The sequence below is a fragment of the Homo sapiens genome, chromosome 15 (assembly GCF_000001405.40).
Source record: "Homo sapiens chromosome 15, GRCh38.p14 Primary Assembly".
Taxonomy (NCBI): domain Eukaryota; kingdom Metazoa; phylum Chordata; class Mammalia; order Primates; family Hominidae; genus Homo; species Homo sapiens.
The window spans coordinates 69,298,767-69,315,853 of record NC_000015.10 but is presented as its reverse complement, the minus strand read 5'-3'; the positions used below and the strand labels follow the sequence as shown (position 1 = coordinate 69,315,853).

General features: G+C 50.8%; 1 protein-coding gene across 16 annotated transcripts in view, besides 3 other annotated features; it reads right to left on the bottom strand.

Annotated features, from left to right (window-relative positions):
* PAQR5 (progestin and adipoQ receptor family member 5) overlaps window positions 1-16,942 on the bottom strand; it is a 108,869-nt gene extending 91,927 nt beyond the window's left edge. For 14 of the 16 annotated variants that reach the window (XM_047432747.1, XM_047432748.1, XM_047432746.1 and 11 more), the window contains exon 1: window positions 16,798-16,942. The gene's annotated coding sequence lies outside the window, so the exon portion shown is untranslated. Of the gene's footprint in view, window positions 1-1,059; window positions 1,452-10,253; window positions 11,252-16,797 lie in introns of those variants that run through there. The other 2 variants (XM_047432749.1, NM_001104554.2) reach the window with 2 other exon arrangements.
* Window positions 9,719-10,918: an enhancer, noted in NCBI's record as "P300/CBP strongly-dependent group 1 enhancer chr15:69597275-69598474 (GRCh37/hg19 assembly coordinates)". NCBI's record gives its function as "activates an origin of replication core promoter dependent on BRD2, BRD4, P300/CBP, MED14 and CDK7 cofactors, with strong dependence on P300/CBP, by STARR-seq in HCT116 cells {active_cell/tissue: HCT116}" and the evidence as "EXISTENCE:reporter gene assay evidence [ECO:0000049][PMID:35650434]".
* Window positions 9,947-10,679: an enhancer, noted in NCBI's record as "H3K4me1 hESC enhancer chr15:69597514-69598246 (GRCh37/hg19 assembly coordinates)". NCBI's record gives its function as "activates a minimal SCP1, AML or CMV promoter by ChIP-STARR-seq in primed H9 embryonic stem cells {active_cell/tissue: H9 hESC(primed)}" and the evidence as "EXISTENCE:reporter gene assay evidence [ECO:0000049][PMID:30033119]".
* Window positions 10,090-10,384: an enhancer, noted in NCBI's record as "tiled region #4882; HepG2 Activating DNase unmatched - State 4:PromP, and K562 Activating DNase matched - State 8:EnhW". NCBI's record gives its function as "activates a minimal TATA promoter and a strong SV40 promoter by Sharpr-MPRA in HepG2 and K562 cells {active_cell/tissue: HepG2 | K562}" and the evidence as "EXISTENCE:reporter gene assay evidence [ECO:0000049][PMID:27701403]".
* Window positions 16,943-17,087: the final 145 nt, after the last annotated feature.

Sequence of the window (17,087 nt, the reverse complement as noted above, 5' to 3'; positions counted from 1 at the left end):
CTGGAGGGGAAGATTCTTACTACAGTTGTCCCTAAACCCAGGTAGTCCCTGCCCCCAGAGCTCCAACTGCCATTGCTTGTCATGGGAAATGATTCACTTTGCCCAGGGAGAAAAAGCAGGGCCTCTATATGAAAAGTGAGAAGAAAGGAAATAACTTCTGTAGTTTAGACACCTCTCCCAAACTCGTGTCCCTGGGTATGTGAGGTGGAAAGTGCCAGTCAAGGTGAAACACACTTGGAGATAGGTCCTTGCATTTCTTGGCACAGGAATGTCACCCAGGGCTGGCTGTGGTAAGAAGGTAAGGCTGGGTAAGAAGGTGGAAAAGTGGTCACCTCTGCAGTGTGAGTCAGGGGCCAGCCCCTGTGACTTGAGACTGGAGATTTCCCCATTCGAGACCCATTCCCTTGGGTCTTCAAGGATGCTGGAAAACGCGAAGACATGCTGATGCTTTGGGGAGAGGGGAGGTGCTGTGGGGATTCACTGGAATTATTAGAGCAAACTTTTCTTTTCTTTTATTATTCAGACAAAGACCCCGATCTTCCTCCCTGAACAAAGTGAATTCATTTCCTCAATAATTGGCAACCATTGATGCTGCAGGGGACACATGAGAGCAGAAGGGGCGGAGTGGAAGGGCAGAGAACGCAGTTGCAGTCGTGTGAAGGCCCACCATAAACAGTCTGTGGGGAAAGGAGCTCTGGGCAAGGACTCCTAAGACGTGGTTCAAATCTGACTTGAGCTGTCCCCTGGGAAGCCCAAGGGATTCTGCACAAGCTGCACACCCTTCAGTCTCCTCATCCCAGGCTGAGAGAATAGAGACGACCACTCCTGCACTGCTCCTCCAGAGTGGTCCGTAAGATCACATTTAATAGAGTGCCCGGCACCAGCAGGCGCCCAGACAGCGATACTGAAGGCACAATCAGACACAGCCCAGGCACATGAAACCCTTCAGCTCCCCCAAAGCAGGAGTCGTCTAACCCCCTAGAGACCCGGTGCAGCCTCTGTTCTTCTCATACCTGCAGGACACTGGAACAAAGCCATATATCATAGAACAAGACCCACCTTTATCAGGAGAGCTGTTTTCCCTTTGAAAGTCAAATCTGAGGCCTTGGGACAATGCGGGGTGTTCCCAGCACACCAGGCCCGGTGGAGGAGGCCCAGCCAGAGGCTCCCTCTCCTCCCCAGCACACTGCCCAGCCAGCCTGCAAGAGCACGGCTGGAATTCACCTCCTCAGACTCCTCCTCTGTTCTTTTCAGGCCTTTAAGGTAATCCTGAGGGTGTGAAGCAAAGACTTTATCATCCATGGGGGGGAATGGTCCAGATACCTAAAGGCAAAAATGATGCATCCAGAAGAAAGGCCAGGTAGGAATCCAAGGCCCAGAGATGTTGGGTGGCTGCTCAGGACCACACAGCGAGCTGATCGCGGGTCCAGAGGCCATGGTCTTGTTAAGCTACACCCAGAAGTAATGTTCCAGCAACTGGGCATCTGGAACTGCCTCTAGGACAAAGGTAAGATTAAACCAAACCAGACTAGGAGGGACAGGAGGGAGAAGGGCAGCTGGGCCAGCCACTTTCCCTTCCTGCTTGGTTAAGCCCACGCTTAAGCCAAAGTTTTCATCCTCCTGCACACAATTTCCTTTTTTTTTTTCCACTTACAATTTGTAAAAAATGATTAGTCAGGTTCTAGAGAGGACGTGTACCAAAGACATCGAAGAAATGAACAATTGGCATCCTCTATTTCAGAAACGGAAGCCCTCCTCTCAGAACTCCCTGCTCCCTATCACTCCCTTTCAGCAAGCCAGGATTCCAGGCAGGAGGCATTAGTGAGCCCTGATCTGGGAGAACAGTTGTTCCCTGGGCGCTTGGGGAGGCGGCTGTGAAGGAACTTCAGTCCCTCACAGAAAGGCAAGGTCCCTGAGTCCACCCACTCCCCACCCTGCCCATCCAGCTTGCAGCCCCCCCAGGACTCCCCAGCTGGCAGAGAGGGGGCAACATTCACAGATCCCCACCCTCACTGTTGGCAGGAACTCCATTGCCTCCTGTCCCTTTCCTTCTTAGGCGGCTCACCTGCTCACCTGTCACCCCCCCACCCCAGGGTGACCAGTCGCCATCCACTGGCCACCCTGAAGGGCTGACACTCAACCTCCTCTCGGGAACACCTGGCTCTGTAGAGTGCCGGAAATGGGGCCTCCCTGGTGGACTTCCTTTTCTCTTCCTTCCCCTTTCCTACCTTTTCTAGACATACTGTCTGCTCGAGCTCTTCCTTTTTTCAAGAAATCTTCTCTGCCAACCACAGCCCATCTAGGTTCCCTTTATTTATTTATTTATTTATTTGGTTGTTGTTGCCGCTGTTTTTGAGACAGAGTCTCACTCTGTTGCCCAGGCTGGAGTGCAGTGGTGCAATCACAGCTCACTGCAGCTTCAGCTCCCTGGGCCCAAGTGATCCTTCCACCTCAGCCCCCTTGAGTAGCTGGAACTACAGGCACACACCACCATGCCCAGCTAATTTTTAAAATTTTGTAAAAATGGGGGTCTCACTATGTTGCCCAGGCTGGTCTCAAACGCTTCAGCTCAGGGGATCCTCCCTCCTTGGCCTCTGAAAGTGTTTGGATTTTACGGGCATGAGACACTGTGCCTGGCTGGGTTCCCTTATTCTCTGCATTGGCAATGGGGACTATAGGGCATATCAGGGAGTCGTGACAGGGTCTTTACTGGGGAGGTAAAACACATACAACAAAGGTTTAAGATCCATGCCACCTGACCCAGTTCAGGGTTCGTGAGAACTAGGCAAGCACTTGCTGAATATGAGATGACTTCCCCACAAATTCCACTCTCAAAAAGGTAAATAACTGTGTAAGCAACGATACAAGAGAAATCCCAAGGTAGCATGAGGAATCGCCCAATAGGTGCATGTGTTCGTGAACTTCCCATGGATTTACTGATTTATAGCACATAGGACTGTGACCTAGGCCAGCATTATTAGAACAGGCAAATCCCCACCCCCAAAAAAGAGTCTCTGTGATTTGAGGCAGTGTGGAACAGGGCCTCAGGCTTCAGTACTGCAATGCCATCACCCACCATCCAACCAGTATTGCTCAAGTCTTCATGCTTTAAAGACTTTTCGGTTTTCCAGTTTCTTTTTTTTATTTCTCAAGTCAAATGCCCCTGGAAAGTCAGAAGCAGTCACCAGGTATGGGCAGCTGATCCTGGGGGACGGGGGGACTGGACAGGAGAAGGGGGGTTTTCATGGGGAGGAAGAAGGCACCAAGAGGGCTGAGGCTCACTTCAGATGGGAGCGAAGTTCCCCCGCTGCTGTGACAAGCAGAAGAGAGAGAAGAGGATGACTTTTGCCAGGGTTGAAGGGCAAAGTCAGATGATTGAGCTCAGCCAGGAATGGGGTTTTGTTAATGTGGTAACCAAAAGGTAGCAGGGTAGGGGGTTTACTGTATAGCAACAGTCAAGTTGGACCTAATGCAAGGTTGGAACACACATCTAGGTCCTTCATCATAGGCACCTTCAAGCCCCACTCTGAGCCCCCAGAAGGAGTTACCACAAAATCAAATCATTCTTGGAAAGAAAAATCCTGTTTTCAAAAAGCATCTGCAGGCTCCACCCTACCTCTTGGACCCTCTCGCCCCTGCCTCCTCTATACAACATCAGATTAACCTCCTCATTGCAGATTTTCCTCCAGCCTCTTTCAGTTCTGATTGCTGTCCTCCCGGACACCCAAACACACCCACACACTCCCCTGCACCCCGCAGTTTGCTCTTGCCTTTCCCACTACAACGCATCTCCTCATCTCCATTCTTCAGAATCCATCTCCCCAGCCCACTTCCTCCAGGAATTCTTCCCGGAGAGCTTGCTTATTTAACCACTCATGCTCTGATGGCTCTGGAGCCTCACTGGGCCTGCAGTTTACTGACCCTTACATTCTATTCCTGTTTGAGGGTCCTTTGTGGTCTCAATTGTACCTGCAGGATTTTAATTGATGGAGGCAACTGAGTGATAACAGAGGCAATGTTGCTGAAAGAAGAATGTATCACCCACATTTCCCAAGAGGAGGGGCCACACCAAACCCAGTGTGTGGCTGCAGGGGAATCACCAGGCTTTGGTCAGTGAGCGTGAGGCCTCGGTCAGATCCTTTATTGGGTTTCAACGGGAAAAGCACAGCAGGGCAGGTTGAGCAGGTTAGGAATGGCTAGTTTAAATAACCCCTGTGGGCACTGGGGCGTAGAGGCTGTCCCAACTCATTTGGTACCTCAGCCTGGGCGACTAAGGGCAGGGAAAGATTGGCAGGGTGCATCCCAGTTAGATAAGGAAGTGATTCAGAGCATGGATTTTAAGTTGCAGGGGAGATGGAAACAACTTGGGCTGATTGCTTGCCCTGTGACTAACAAATGCCACACAAACAAATACAAAATCTAAGCAAACGTCAGAACACCATCCACTCACTTCCCTCATCTAACTCAGGTTCCAGGCTTCATCAGTCCAATCATTCTCTTGCTACATCGGTGAACTCTCTCATCCCTCTAACTTCTGCCATCTCGTGAACACAGCCCCTTCCCTAGATGAACTCACGATTTCCTTCACTCTTTCAACGTGTAGCCATCCAATTCCTGGCACACAGCTCCGTCTTCCCTCCCTTCTACTTGTCATGACAGCGAGGTATCTCCCTTCCTGCCTAAGGACAAGCCCTGGTCCATTCTGGAACTCACCTAAATGCTTCCTCAGGGACCTCCATATCAGAGATCCCCTCTCTAGTGAATCTCTTCCATCAACACTCATTATTCTTTTTTTTTTTTTTTTTTTTATTTTTTGCGACGGAGTCTTGCTCTGTTGCCCAGGCTGGAGTGCAGTGGCGCGATCTCGGCTCACTGCAAGCTCCGCCTCCCGGGTTCACACCATTCTCCTGCCTCAGCCTCCCGAGTAGCTGGGACTACAGGCGCCCGCCACCACACCCGGCTAATTTTTTTGTATTTTTAGTAGAGACGGGGTTTCACCGTGTTAGCCAGGATGGTCTTGATCTCCTGACCTCATGATCCACCCGCCTTGGCCTCCCAAAGTGCTGGGATTACAGGCATGAGCCACCGCGCCTGGCCAACACTCATAATTCTTAAAAAACAGCAGTAACAGCAATAATAATAATAATAATAAATTGTTGACCAAATGAGGAAGGGAAAAACGTATAATGTATATTCCAGACAAAAGACTAGTTTCTCCAATACTTCAAGATTCCCTCTGATTCCTCTAATAAGAAAAAGTTCTGATAAGAACAACTTCAAATAAAATTGATAAAACATATGAATAGACAGTTCACAGAAGAGGAAATTCAAATGACTTTTATATCTGTAATAATATATTTAACTTTATTCAAAAATGCAGGTTAAACTATATCAATAAATCATTTTTTGTCTTCCAGATTGGCAAATATTGGTGTGTTTGGTAACACTCTCTGTTGGAGGGTGTGGTAAATGAGTATTCTCATCCACTGCTGGTAGGTGGGTACATTCTTACAAACTCTATGGACAGCACATTGCCGATATCTTTCCAAATATAAACGCACATACCCATGAACCACCAATTCCACTTCTAGGACTTTATCCTACCTATAGCCACCTACATTTGCAAAATGACTGAAGTACAAGGGGATTCTGTGGGAAATCATTTGTGGTGGCAAAAGGCTCAAAACTGCCTCCATGTCCAAAAAACAGATTAGTTAAATAAGTTATGTGACATCCATAAGCAAGAAAGAAGCAGCTTTCTTTTGTTGTTGTTGTTGTTTCGTTTTGTTTTTTTTGTTTTTTTTTTAATATGGAGTCTCACTCTGTCACCCAGGCTGGAGTGCAGTGGAGCGATCTCAGCTCACTGTGACCTCCACCTCCTGGGTTCAAGTGATTCTCCCACCTCAGCCTCCCAAGTAGCTGAGATTACAGGCACCTACCATCATGCCTGGCTAATTTTTGTATTTTTGTAGAGATGGCATTTCACCTTGTTGTCCAGGCTGGTCTCAAACTCCTGACCTCAGGTGATCAGCCACCTTGGCCTCCCAAAGTGCTGGGATTACAGGCATGAACCACCGCACCTGGCCAAGAAGCAGCTTTCTAGGTACTGATATGGAGAAACCTCACAGTAGGTAGCTAGGTGGAAAAATTAAGACGCAGGGGCAGAGTGCATGCATGTGCCACCATCCGGGGGAAATAATCTGTATACGTCTTTTCTAACACATGCGTGGAACTGGTAACATTGCCTCTGAGGAGGGAGGGGACAGGGAGATCGGGGGAGATAGGAGGATGAAAACTCTTCCCAGTGAGATCCTAAACCCACTTCCCTTTCTGGCTTCTTCACTCTCTCCTCACGTCTACTGACACATTTTTGGAAAAACTGTCTGCCAGCTGCCTCTCTTCCCACCTGCTGCCCATTCCTCAACCATCTAAGTCTGGTTCCTCCTCATAGCACTTCAAAATCCCCAGGCACTTCTCAGTCCTCATGCACTTACTCGTGCTCCACAGGCTTCACCGTGGCCCATGCCCTGCGCCTGGAGCACTCTTCCATGGGCCTCCACAGCACCATTCTCCATACGGTCCTCCACTATCTCTCTTGGAACTCGTTCTCCATCTCTAAATGTTGGAGCTCCTGCTGCTTCCTGCCAGGCCCTCCTCTCCATGCTCCACTTCTCAGTCTGCAGGCTCTCCCGGGGCTGTCCCATCCACCCCATGGCTTCTCTCATCACCTGTATGCATGTAGCTTCCAACTGTGTAGCTCCAACCAGGCCTCTCTTCTGAGCTCAGGACCCCACCTGCTGTCTCCCAGGTATCTCCAACCCAGCATGCTCCAAATGTAATTCACCAGCTTCTAGTTGGTTTCATTCTCTGCACCTGGGGGATTTCCTTAGCACTCTCATGTCCAAACCCTTTCGGTCATCAGAACCTAGAGTGTTCCCTCTGGAAGATCCCTAGAATCTGACCCTTCTCTCCCACCTTCACCACTGCTTGCCTAATCAAAGCCTTCCCCATTCATTCAGTGAGGAAGCTACACCAGGTTCCTCACTGCTGCCTCCATGCTGTCTCTCACCTCAGGGCCTTTGCACTTGCTGGAACCTGTGCCTTGAATACTCTCCTCCACTCTCCACCCCTGCTGTATCCTAACTAATTCTTATCTATCTTCTGGAATTCAGATTAACATAACTACCTCAAAGAAACCTTTTTGACCCTTAGACCAATGGATCTCATTGGGGATGGTTTTGCTCCCCAGTGGACATTTGGCAATGTTTGGAGATATTTTTGGTTGTCACAAGCAGGGAGGGGGTGTGTGTGGCTACTGGCATCTGTTGCATAGAAGCCAGGGATGCTGCTATACATCCTGCAGTGCACAGGACAGTCCCACACGACAAAGAATTATCTGGCCCAATATGTCAGCAGGGCCAAGGTGAGAAATCCTGCTCTAGCCTGTCATGTCCCCATGATACATTTCCATAACACACTCCATTTCTCCTGCAGACATTCAATCTTTAGCTGTGCAAAGGTATTGGCCAGATTCCATTCTCTGAGCTTTATGGGATGAATAAATGAATTAAAGTCACTAGGTCATGTTGATCTCTGGGTCTCTACCCACAGTGCCCAAACCAAGCATGCAGCCTCGAGCTTGGCAGTGAGAATGTGTGGATTGATATGACATGCCCAGGGCAGGGATTGAGCCACACTGAGCAGAGGCCACCCTGTGTCCTGGCTTTCAACTCCGCAGGGCCCTCCAGGTCATCTGATGGCAGTCCTTGCCCTGGCCCTTGACTGGCTTCTCACCTTGAACTCAGCAACTAGCTCTGCAATGCCTTTTCACACTTGTCAATGCCTCGTCTCTAAGTTCATCTCCAGGTGGTTCTGTGGGCCCCTTAAAGCCACCAGGCCCAAGTTTATCCACTCCTCATCTTGTCAAGTCAGCTGCTCCTCCAGTGAACTTACCCAGGTGCCTGCACCACCATCAACCCAGCCAACAAACCAGAATCCTGGGCACCCTTGTGCGGCACAGCACCCTTCAGACTTGCTCCCTCTACCACCCCACCGACAGCCACAGGGTCCCCCAGCTTTCTCTCACTTGGTCTTCTTGCCTGAAGCCTCTTTCCCTCTCAGTCCACCTGGGACATCCCTCCCAACTATGTCCTTCTAAGATGACCATCAGCCTGTCTCACTTCCTGATGAAAACTCCTTCGACACTTCTCACTGTCCACAGGGCAGAGCCCAAGTTCCTCAGCCTTGTGGGGGATGAAAGGTGCAAGACCTTCCATACTCTTCCCCAGCCCCTCCTACCCTCAGGGCCTCATCTCCAGCCCCAGGCACGAACACCTCAGCACCACTTTCTTCCTGCAGCCTGGGCTTTTTCCTTCCCTCCTCTCCCCTCCCCTTCCCTCTGAGGTGTCCAGAGATTCCACGCTCATCCTTAAAACCTAATTCAAACACGTCTTCCTTAATACTATGATGGTTCCTCCGAAACTTAAACATAGAAGCACCATATGACCCAGAAACTCCACTTCTGGGCACGCATCCAAAGGAAGTGAGAGCAGGGACACAAACAGATATTTGCATTTCCATGTTCATAGCAACATTATTCACAGCAGACAAAAGGTGAAGCAACTGAAGTGTCAGAAACAAATGATAAACAAAATGTGGTATATAACGGGAGGTGGAGGGTGCAACAAGCCGAGATCGTGCCACTGCACTCCAGCCTGGGTGACAGAGCGAGACTATCTCTCAAAAAAAAAAAAAATATGATGTATATGTAATGGAATATTATGCAGCCTTAAAAAAGAAGGAAATTCTGTCACATGCCACAACATGGATGAAATTGAAGACACTATGCTAAGTGAAATTATGCTAAGTGAAGACACTATGCTAAGTGAAATTAGCCAGTCACAAAAAGACAAGTGCAGCATGATTCCACTTACAGGAGGTATCTAGAGTACTCAAGTTCATAAAAAGACGGAAAGGATGATGGTGGTTGCAAGGGGCCAGGGGAGGGGAAATGGGAAATTATTGTTTACTGGGTACAGAGTTTCATCTGGGAGATGATAAAAAGGTATGGAGATGGATGGTGGTGATGGTTGCACAACAATGTGAATGTACTTAATGACAATGAGTTGCAGACTTAAAAAATGGTTAAATGGGCGGGGGGCGGTGGCTCACACCTGTAATCCCAGCACTTTGGGAGGCCGAGGTGGGCAGATCACGAGGTCAAGAGATTGAGACCATCCTGGCCAACATGGTGAAACCTTGTCTCTACTAAAAATACAAAAATTAGTGGTGGTGTGCGCCTGTAATCCCAGCTACTCGGGAGGTTGAGGCAGGAGAATTGCTTGAACCCAGGAGGCAGAGGTTGCGGTGAGCCGAGATGGTGCCGTTGCACTCCAGCCTGGGCAACAGATCGAGACTCCGTATCAAAAAAAAAAAAAAAAAGGTTAAATGGTAAATTTTAAATGGTTAAAGGTTAAATGGTAAAGGTTAAAGGTTAAATGGTAAAAAAAAAAGGTTAAATGTTTTGTATGTTTTACTGCAATAACAAAAGGTAACAACAAAATAACACAACAAAAATTCCACCTCTTCCTCTCGGGAAGCTGCCTGAACATTCCCTCCACCTCCCCAAGCACATGTGTTGCCCCAGCTGCCCACCCCCAATTCCCCGCAACACAGCTGGGTGGTGCTGCCCACACCCCACTCCATGCATTCCATGTACATTCCCAGTACCCTGCAGGGACAGCCTGACAGCCATGTCTTCCCTCTGAGACTGAGGGGTTCTGCAGGCAGGCACTATATCTCATTCCCTTCTCCTGCCCCACATCTAGCCCACAGTCCAGAGCAGAGTTTCTTCAATGAAGGAATGAATCCCCCAGAGCAATAGGTCTGGGTTAGTACTATCCCAAACCTCACAGTCTGTTATTCCCAGAGACAGTGATTTACTTCTAATATTCATCAACAAACCCCTCCCCCTGCCAAAGATCGTCTGCCCTTCCATTAAGCGACAAGGTCAGAAGGGGGTTTCCGTGGACGAAGTTAATAAACAGCTAACTTGGGAGGAATAAACAAAATAAAACCCAGGGTAGGCCGGCGCAGGCGTGCCCTTGCGTCTAACAACACCCACACTCCACCCTCTCTCCCTCCTCTGCTTGGTGGGTGGGCTGATTCACTTCCTGTGTCCCCTCCCAGGGCAGCGTGAGAGGGGAAAGTGGGTGGAATGCTGAGTCCTAGGGCATGAATAGATGATTACTCACCACGCTGCCCCGCACTGGAAGGCCACTGACCTTAGTGTGCGGGCCCGAACCACAGGCCTCTCTCCCCCTCACTCCGAGCCTCGCCCCACCCACCCCGACTTATGTAACCCAAGGTCTGGAAGGCGAAGAGAACTGGCCTTGGCTCTCAGCATGAGGTCCAAGGGGCCCCTCCACCCATAAGTCCTTGCACACCCCACGTGTTGAGTCTTCATTCACACCCAGTCCACATTCATGAAACAGGGGCTGGAAAGAGAACATGGTCTCCCCTGTCCTGAGGATGACCGTTGGGAGGGTCTTCATAGATCATTGATCCCAGGGGTCTCAACCAGAGATGGAGTGTCCCCGAGAGGACATTTGGCAATGTCTGGAGACAGTTTTGGTTGCCAGGAAGGGAAGGGGATGTGATGGTGCAGTGTCTGCTGGGTAGAAGCCAGGGCTACTGCTAACTTCCCACAATGCACAGCACATCCCCCCTCTCCACCGCCCACCACAAACACAGAATTATCCGGTACCGAAAGTCAATAGTGCTGAGGTTGAGACACCATGATGAATCCAAGCCGTACAGAAGAGGAAACTGAGGCAGAGGAAGTGACAGGATCAAAGTCACACTATGCATTAGATAATGTCAGAATTAGAATCCAAGGCTCTCTACCAGCCACACTAGTCTTCAGCTCCCAGGAGTGCAGTGATCAACTCCAAAACAAGTGGCAAGCTAGTGGAGTGGCTGAATTTGGGACTCTGGGGTCTAGAAGCTATCATAGTTGGTCTCTGTGTCTCTGGCAGGCTCCAAATGAATCCCACCAAGGTGAACCTGACCATCTTGGTCAAAGGGTTCCCAGATAATCAGAGGAAGACTGTCTGAAGGGGCTGTGGTGTGTCCAGGCAGAATGACCCTGTCTGAGGCTTGGGCAAAACTCACCCCTTAAGTCCATAGCATGCTGGGGGTGGTCCTGGCTGAGGTCAAGGTCAGAAGAGAGGAAGACTGTGTAAGGCAAAACCTGGATCGGAGGACAGGGCATGGGTGAGAATTAAACCTTGGATCACTGATTTGGGGGCACTATCTTTTTTCCTAGATGCCAAAAATGATTGTAGCTCTCGCACCTGCTGGATCCTCACTGCCATCCTGCATAATTTCAAACTGATGTCTAGAGTCACCCTTACCCTTTTCTCCAAGGAGCCAACACCATGTCTCCAACTGTGGGCCAGACACCAGGGCATCAGAGCTGACGGTGCAATCCCATTATTTATGAACAACTGACTCACGTCATGTTGCAACAGGCGTACTTTTCCATCCACTGTGGCTGAAAGTCAGCAAACTTGTAGTAACAGTGGTAATAAAGAGAAGGCCAGGGCAGTAGTGCATGAAGCTCTGTCTTAGGTCAGGGCCTCACCCTCTTCAGGAGCAGGGAGCCCATCGAAGGTGGTTGGGGACAAGGATGGGGGGGTAGGGAAGGGCCTACAATGGCCTCAGTCACAGAAGAAGGCCCCATTACAGATTTGTTTCTTCAGGCAAAGCATTATCACTGCTCCCTCACCTGCCTGTCTCCTTCCTCCCTAATTTTTCCAACAAGCTTGAAAACTCCTACATATCCTTCAAGGCCTAATTTCTGGAGTCCTTCCCCCAGCTCCAAGGTTCAGGTGCATTCTAACCCTGAATTTGGCAAACCACAATGACGATGGAAAAAGATGTTTGGGGTCAACAGCTGGGCTTGGGGAAAAAAGCCAAAGCTCCCCATGGATGGAATGTAGAGGCCTGCACAAGATCTGCTCCTCTGTGGGGGGCGTGCTGAGCACTGTGGCCTCTAGGCTCTCTTGCCAGATTCCCAAGTGAGGCCTCAGAACCCCAAGGCTTCCCTGGGCCTCTGGCTGCATTTCTCAGACTGGTCGGTTATCCCTAGCCCAAGTCCATGGGAATGCCACTCCTTCTCCCACGGCTGCCTGGAGCCTGGCTTTGGACTTCCTTAGTTCTCCAGTGCACTGGAGAATTGATTGACTGACTGATTGATTGATTGATTGATTGGATGTGCTTTTTTTTTTTTTAATTGCACTGGGGAATTTTAAAAGGCTGCCTGAAGAGGGCACTATTTTCACCAAGAGAGAACTCACTAGCAGAGGAATTGGCTGCCTTGGGAGAGCAACCCTGGGAGGTTTTCTTTGAGGATGGAGGTCTGGTGGGGATGACTCCTTCCTGGAACTCACCAATCGCCTCATGTGGCGGCTGTCCATTCAGTCTGGGAGCTGCCCCTTTGGGTAACTCTGGAGGCAGCTGGCCTGAAGGTTCTTGCCAAGGGCCTCTTAAGCACCCCTAGCAACCAAGGTAATTCAAAGTGGGAGACAGAGACCCAAATTTGAATTAACTTGAGTCTAATTAGGAAAAGCTCCAGCTCTGCCTCCAAGAGTCACTCCTCGCCTCTGGGTCTCAGTCTCCCCATCTGTATACTGAGAAATGGTGCATTGGATGTGTTCATCTACTCAGCACGTGTTAACTGAGCACCTACTACACTCTGATCTCTTGGGAGAGACCATGGAACGAGAGAGACAAAAGGCTTTGCCCTCACAGAGCTGCTATTCTAACAGGGAGGACAGATGGCAAACAAGATTAAGGAGTGAAATCTATAGGCCATCAGAAGGGGATGTGAGCCATGGAAAATGAAGCAAAGAAGAAGCAGGGGGACATGGCTGCTAAGGATTAGTCCAGCTTAGAGACTCTGGGTCTAAAGCTCTTACTCTGCTGCATCCTTGTTAGGAGTCAAGAATGGTGGCAGGAAACTGGGCAGGGCCATGCGTGAGTACAGGGACAGCTCTCAGGGGTGGTGGGGATGGTGGGTTTGTTCACGGGCTTGAGCCCCAGTCAGTCTCTCAGCGGCTTCCTCCAGGAAACAGAACTGACTAACCCCAGGTGTGCTGGCCTGTCCTCAAGTCAAAGGCAGACACCTGGGTCTGCTGAGGAGTCCAGGGGTCACACAGGGTTCCTGGCAGGGCCCCAAAAGTCCTGACTGAGGGGTGGATTTCTTCAAAGCAAGGTGGGCAGCATCCTCAGGGCACTGCCAGTGACTCTTCTACATCCCTCACTTTGCCCTGGCCTTCGATGAACAAGACACTGGCCACCTCCAACTACAGGGGCTCTCAGACCCTTCCTTCCCTCCTACTGATCCTCCCCTGCATGGTGGGGTGTCCCCTCCCCTTACATGGGGAGGGAGGGAGAGGAATTTGAAAGTCCCCATTTCTGGCTGGGCATGGTGGATCACACCTGTAATCCCAGCACTTTGGGAGGTAGAGGCAGACAGATCGCTTGAACTCAGGAGTTCGAGAGCAGCCTGGGCAACATAGTGAGACCCCACCTCTACAAAAAATACAAAAATTAGCTGGGCACGGTGGTGCATGCCTATAGTCCCAGCTACTAAGGAGGCTGAGGTGAGGAAGATAGCTCGAGACCGGGAGGCGGAGGTTGCAGTGAGCTGAGATCATGCTACTGCACTGCAGCCTGCTCTGTTGAGACAGAGCAACACCCTGTCTCAAATATATATATCTGACCAACCCGGAGTTGGTCAGTTTTGTTTCCTGGAGGAAGCCGCTGAGAGACAGACTGGGGCTCAAGCCCATGCACAAACCTACCACCCCCACCACCCCTGAGAGCTGTCCCTGTACTCACGCATGGCCCTGCCCAGTTTCCTGCCACCATTCTTGACTCCTAACACTGTGCTAAAAAAAAAAAAAAAAAAAAAAAAAAAAAAAAAAAAATCTCCCCCCATTTCTTATGAATTCACAATTTTTCTCTTCCTGTACGGATCATTTTTGAAAACATGTCTTGTAAACCTTCTGTGTACTCAGGATGAATGAGGGATGCCAAGATGCTGAGAAAGGACTTACCGCCAACCAGGGAGGCCAGGCTAATACACATGAGAAAATAACAATCCGCTCTTACAGTTTGATTTGCAGCCCACAGAGTCCTTTGGAACCACTTACTATCTCCTAAAACCACACAGGGTCTGTTGCTCTCATTTTACAGATGAGGAAATTGAGGCCCAGAAAAGCACCTTCTCTTCCCTCAATACATAGCTGCCCCATGGAGTGGTAAGGAGAGAGAGGAGACAATGAAGATTAAAGTTTCCAAATAATTCCAATTCCAATTCTTACCCCCAGAGGGATGCATAAGAATTCTACGTAAAGGGACAAAGTTGCTCTGCCTCAGTCTAGGGTAGAGCCAAGCTTGGCATGGAACCCACCAGCCTCGGCCTCTCCTTGGCGGGACAAGGGTAAAGTGAAAGTCCTCTGTCTCTCTGGAAAAGCACATGGGGGCTGGGTGCAGTGGCTCACGCCTGCAATCCCAGCACTTTGGGAGGCCAACCCGGGTGGGTCATCTGATGTTAGCAGTTCGAGACCAACCTGGCCAACATGGTGAAACCCTGTCTCTACTAAAAATGCAAAAATTAGCTGTGTTTGGTGGCAGGCGCCTGTAATCCCAGCTACTCGGGAGGCTGAGGCAAGAGAATTGCTTGAACCCGGGAGGCGGAGGTTGCAGTTAGCTGAGATCTCGCCCTTGCACTCTAGCCTGGGTAATAGAGCAAGACTCAGTCAAAAAGAAAGAAGAAAGAAAGAAAGAAAGAAAGAAAGAAAGAAAGAAAGAAAGAAAGAAAGAAAGAAAGAAAGAAGGAAAGAAAGAGAGAGAGAGAGAGAGAGAGAGAAAGGAAGGAAGGAAGGAAGGAAGAAAGAAAGAAAGAAAGAAAGAAAGAAAGAAAGAAAGAAAGAAAGAAAGAAAACGAACTAAAGGAAGGAAGGAAGGAAGGAAGGAAAGAAGGAAAGAAAGAAAGAAAGAGAGAGAGAGAGGGAGGGAGGAAGGAAGAGAAAGAATGAAAGAAAGAAAGAAAGAAAGAAAGAAAGAAAGAAAGAAAGAAAGAGAGAGAGAGAGGGAGGGAGGAAGGAAGAGAAAGAATGAAAGAAAGAAAGAAAAGAAAGAAAGAAAGAAAGAAAGAAAGAAAGAAAGAAAGAAAGAAAGAAAGAAAGAAAGAAGGAAAGAAAGAAAGAAAGAGAAAGAAAGAAAAGCATACGGGATTAAGGATGTACTCTTGGTGTAAGGGGAAAATGTTGCCCCACGTGGGTAAGGGTGCCAAGGGATCTCAGTGGTGGGGCTGGACACCTTTCTGATCCAACTTTTCAGAGTGCCCTTTCTGCTTGCCAAGGGCAGAGATAAGGCAGTTGGAAAAGAAGCTTTGCTGTTGCAGGCTAATCATTCCATTCTCGCAGAGCACCTTCCGTGTGCCAGGTACTATTGCTACGGCAGGGAACAAAGCAGGTCCCTGCAGGGAACAAAGCAGGTCCCTGCCCTCCTGCAGTTCTGGGAGCTTAGCAAGGCTCTGGCTGGCTCTTGGAGGACCTTACTGACTGGAGTTTGTGTCTGCTTGGAGGTGCCCTCTCCCCTGAACCTCTTTCACAGGCAGAACCTAGGGGGGTGGGGAGTGGGGTAAAAGAAACAAACCTCTGCTGAGTCAAGGGCACTGCAAGAATGCAGAAGCGACCATGCAGCTCTGGAAGGATGCGGTGGGAAACCCGCCACTCAGTGGTGGAGAAAAGCCCACCAGTTTCTCCAGCAAATGGCTGAGCTTTGTTGGGCCTCCTTGTCTTCTCATCTGCCCATGTGTTAATATCTACTCGCCATTGGTTTGTTAGGTTCAAATGAAATCAGGGATGTGTCCCTTTTTGGCTGCTAGCTCTTCTCAGATCCCCTGACCTCTCCCCATCTCTTCTCTATGGCTCTGCGTGGGAAGGGGCAGTTGTCACCCCCGACTCCCACTAAGCTGAGCCCTCCTCCCAACCTAAGCGGGAGGAAGCCGGTTCTGCTCACGGATAAGAGTTACCGGGCTCCTGAGTTCTTGTTCTGCTGGGCCGGGGTCCACCCCCTCTCCTGGGCTCATCCGACTAGGACTTGGGAAGTGCTAGGGGAGCCAGGAGATGCCCAGCTGGGGGCTGTGGCCGGGGGGAGGCCAATGACAGAGCAGGGGGAACTCCCTGTAGCTGGGCACCCACTTCAACAGGGCCGGGACGACCCCCGCAGGCAGTGGGCCGCCCCTCACCCACACGGTCCTGCTCAGCCCAGGCTCACATCTGGGCTCAGGAGGCGGGAAGCACAGGTGTAAAGAAATCGCCAACTGTGCAGCCCCAATCCAAGGGTTTTATTAAAGTGGGGGCGGCGGGAGGGGGGCGGTGGAGGAAGGATAAGCGGCGCAAACGCCCTGGAGAGTGAGAGAAAAGGTGCGAGAAGGCAACAGCTCCCCTCACCGCCCTCGATTGCAGCAGAGAGCCTTCTGCACGGCGGCGGCCGCCCCACCTTCACACCGGCCCCGCGTGCGGTGAAAGTGGCCGAGCCGCGCCGCCGCCGGATCAGGGCCGCCCCGGCACAAACTTTCCCAGACCCGCCCTCGGAGCGGCCACCCAGGCTCAACGGGCTCCACGGGCGCAGGGCGGCTGGGGCTGCCGCGGAGGGCGGGTGCGCGTGGACCGGGAGGTGGGGAGGCGGCGCGCGGCGGGGAGTCCCGCCCCGGGTTACCTGGGTTCCAAGGGTCTCGGGAGTCCAGTGGACAGGGCGCGGGGACAGCACAGGCAGGCCGGAGACCAGACACTCCTCCCGGGCTGCGGCGACCCCGGACTCGCGGGCCCTGCACCTGGCCCTGCGGGTCGCCGCGCCTACCCATGCCGGTCCCCGCCCGTCCCCTCCCGCGCGGGGCGGGGCGGCCCCGGGGGAGGAGCCGAGGGCCGTGGGCACCACCCCCTGAGCCAGGCCTGCGCCTCATCACGTGCCACCGACCCTGGGCTCTGTGACTTCCAAAGACTCGCCAC